Source organism: Homo sapiens, chromosome 6 (assembly GCF_000001405.40).
Source record: "Homo sapiens chromosome 6, GRCh38.p14 Primary Assembly".
Taxonomy (NCBI): Eukaryota; Metazoa; Chordata; class Mammalia; order Primates; family Hominidae; genus Homo; species Homo sapiens.
Genome location: NC_000006.12, coordinates 100,353,478 through 100,357,168, shown reverse-complemented (window position 1 = coordinate 100,357,168; position 3,691 = coordinate 100,353,478). Strand labels below are relative to the sequence as shown.

Below are 3,691 nucleotides of genomic sequence, written 5' to 3'. Positions count from 1 at the left end.
ACTTTCTGTCTCGTTGATCTGTCTAATGTTGACAGTGGGGTGTTAAAGTCTCCCATTATTAATGTGTGGGAGTCTAAGTCTCTTTGTAGGTCACTCAGGACTTGCATTATGAATCTTGGTGCTCCTGTATTGGATGCATATATATTTAGGATAGTTAGCTCTTCTTGTTGAATTGATCCCTTTACCATTATGTAATGGTGTTGTCTCTTTTGATCTTTGTTGGTTTAAAGTCTGTTTTATCGGAGACTAGGATTGCAACCCCTGCCTTCTTTTGTTTTCCATTTGCTTGGTAGATCTTCCTCCATCCTTTTATTTTGAGCCTATGTGTATCTCTGCACATGAGATGGGTTTCCTGAATACAGCACACTGATGGGTCTTGACTCTTTATCCAATTTGACAGTCTGTGTCTTTTAATTGGAGCATTTAGTCCATTTACATTTAAAGTTAATATTGTTATGTGTGAATGTGATCCTGTCATTATGATGTTAGCTGGTTATTTTGCTCATTAGTTGATGCAGTTTCTTCCTAGTCTCAATGGTCTTTACATTTTGGCATGATTTTGCAGCGGCTGGTACCGGTTGTTCCTTTCCATGTTTAGCGCTTCCTTCAGGAGCTCTTTTAGGGCAGGCCTGGTGGTGACAAAATCTCTCAGCATTTGCTTGTCTGTAAAGTATTTTATTTCTCCTTCACTTATGAAGCTTAGTTTGGCTGGATATGAAATTCTGGGTTGAAAATTCTTTCCTTTAAGAATATTGAATATTGGCCCCCACTCTCTTCTGTCTTGTAGGGTTTCTGCTGAGAGATCCGCTGTTAGTCTGATGGGCTTTCCTTTGAGGGTAACCCGACCTTTCTCTCTGGCTGCCCTTAACATTTTTTCCTTCATTTAAACTTTGGTGAATCTGACAATTATGTGTCTTGGAGTTGCTCTTCGTGAGGAGTATCTTTGTGGCGTTCTCTGTATTTCCTGAATCTGAACGTTGGCCTGCCTTGCTAGATTGGGGAAGTTCTCCTGGATAATATCCTGCAGAGTGTTTTCCAACTTGGTTCCATTCTCCCCATCACTTTCAGGGACACCAATCAGACGTAGATTTGGTCTTTTCACATAGTCCCATATTTCTTGGAGGCTTTGCTCATTTCTTTTTATTCTTTTTTCTCTAAACTTCCCTTCTTGCTTCATTTCATTCATTTCATCTTCCATCCCTGATACCCTTTCTTCCAGTTGATCGCATTGGCTCCTGAGGCTTCTGCATTCTTCACGTAGTTCTCGAGCCTTGGTTTTCAGCTCCATCAGCTCCTTTAAGCACTTCTCTGTATTGGTTATTCTAGTTATACATTCTTCTAAATTTTTTTTCAAAGTTTTCAACTTCTTTGCCTTTGGTTTGAATGTCCTCCCGTAGCTCAGAGTAATTTGATCATCTGAAGCCTTCTTCTCTCAGCTCGTCAAAGTCATTCTCCATCCAGCTTTGTTCCGTTGCTGGTGAGGAACTGCGTTCCTTTGGAGGAGGAGAGGCGCTCTGCTTTTTAGAGTTTCCAGTTTTTCTGTTCTGTTTTTTCCCCATCTTTGTGGTTTTATCTACTTTTGGTCTTTGATGATGGTGATGTACAGATGGGTTTTTGGTGTGGATGTCCTTTCTGTTTGTTAGTTTTCCTTCTAACAGACAGGACCCTCAGCTGCAGGTCTGTTGGAATACCCTGCCGTGTGAGGTGTCAGTGTGCCCCTGCTGGGGGGCTGCCTCCCAGTTAGGCTGCTCAGGGGTCAGGGGTCAGGGACCCACTTGAGGAGGCAGTCTGCCCGTTCTCAGATCTCCAGCTGCGTGCTGGGAGAACCACTGCTCTCTTCAAAGCTGTCAGACAGGGACATTTAAGTCTGCAGAGGTTACTGCTGTCTTTTTGTTTGTCTGTGCCCTGCCCCCAGAGGTGGAGCCTACAGAGGCAGGCAGGTCTCCTTGAGCTGTAGTGGGCTCCGCCCCGTCGGAGCTTCCCGGCTGCTTTGTTTACCTAATGAAGCCTGGGCAATGGCGGGCGCCCCTCCCCCAGCCTCGCTGCCGCCTTGCAGTTTGATCTCAGACTGCTGTGCTAGCAATCAGCGAGACTCCGTGGGCTTAGGACCCTCCAAGCCAGGTGTGGGATATAATCTCGTCGTGCGCCGGTTTTTAAGCCTGTCGGAAAAGCGCAGTATTCCGGTGGGAGTGACCCGATTTTCCAGGTGCCGTCTGTCACCCCTTTCTTTGACTCGGAAAGGGAACTCCCTGACCCCTTGCGCTTCCCAAGTGAGGCAATGCCTCGCCTGCTTCGGCTCACGCACGGTGCGTGCACCCACTGACCTGTGCCCACTGTCTGGCACTCCCTAGTGAGATGAACCCGGTACCTCAGATGGAAATGCAGAAATCACCGTCTTCTGCGTCGCTCACGCTGGGAGCTGTAGACCGGAGCTGTTCCTATTCGGCCATCTTGGCTCCTCCCTCGGAAACATATCTTAAAGGTAATGTTTAAAGCATTTTTTGGCTGTGTGTGGTGGCTCACGCCTGTAATCCAAGCAGTTTGGGAGACCGAGGTGGGCAGATCATGAAGTCAGGAGATCAAGACCATCCTGGCTAACACAATGAAACCCTGTCTCTACTGAAAATACAAAAATTAAAAAAAAAAATAGCCGGGTGTGGTGGCATGCACCTATAGTCCCAGCTACTCAGGAGGCTGAGGCAGGAGAATCCCTTGAACCTGGGAGGCAGAGGTTGCAGTGAGCCAAGATCGCACCACTGCACTCCAGCCTGGGTGACAGATTGAGGCTTCATCTCAAAAAAACAAAAACCCACAAAAACCAAAAAACAAAAAAAACCCATTTTTCTTATTAAAATTTGGTTTGTGTTATCAGACAAGAAGTGAAAAAGCTTCTCATTGCCTCTCCTCTGAAGTGAGATAATGATATTCCAGTTACCACTGCAATTCTGCTTTTCTATTAATTTGCTCATCGTGCCTTTCCATTATTAGTATTAGTAATGGCATTTGCCAGTCTTCCTACATGTATAAGACTATAACCCTGTCTGTTTTCTGAAATAATAAATTGCTAAACCACAGCTTCAATACCTTCAGTGGACATTTTCGGAGAGCATTCCTTCATCCATGGGCTATCTCTGGTTCTTTGGTTAACTACGCTTCAGCTTCACAGGGTGGGCTCTTGGAGGTCATCTTTATGTGCATCTTTATTTCTGTCTTTAGCCAGCGTTGTCAAGACACCTGATCTGCAACGGACCAGACACATTGTTTCTTTCAATGATTTGGCTTTGAAACTAGACCTCTAGTTACTTCATGTGGCTGAACATGTAGACCTGGAGGCCAGAGGCTGCCATGAGTCATGGGTGAGGAGTGGAGAAAGGCCTGTCTGCAGAGAGAGAGAGAGAGAGGAAGGGAGTAGACGGTAGAAAGAAGCCAAGATGCAGTTTAGAGAGATTAGAAGACAGCTGACCTCCAGGATGCTTCCTGGTGTGCAGTCCAGTTGCATTCTTGGCCTTCAGTTTCATGAAGAATTCTCCATCTATATAACTAATGCTGTTTTCATTTAACGTAGCAGAGAAGCATCCAAACACCTTAAAGACTCCTGGTTCTCATCAGCGATGATCTCAAATCAAGTGCACAAGTCCACTGCCATCACCCACAGGCCCCTGCCACTCCTTTGTGGCCTTCTGTTATTCTA

General features: G+C 45.6%; 1 annotated feature.

Moving 5' to 3' along the window:
* Positions 1,564-2,197: an enhancer, noted in NCBI's record as "NANOG-H3K27ac-H3K4me1 hESC enhancer chr6:100802848-100803481 (GRCh37/hg19 assembly coordinates)". NCBI's record gives its function as "activates a minimal SCP1, AML or CMV promoter by ChIP-STARR-seq in naive H9 embryonic stem cells {active_cell/tissue: H9 hESC(naive)}" and the evidence as "EXISTENCE:reporter gene assay evidence [ECO:0000049][PMID:30033119]".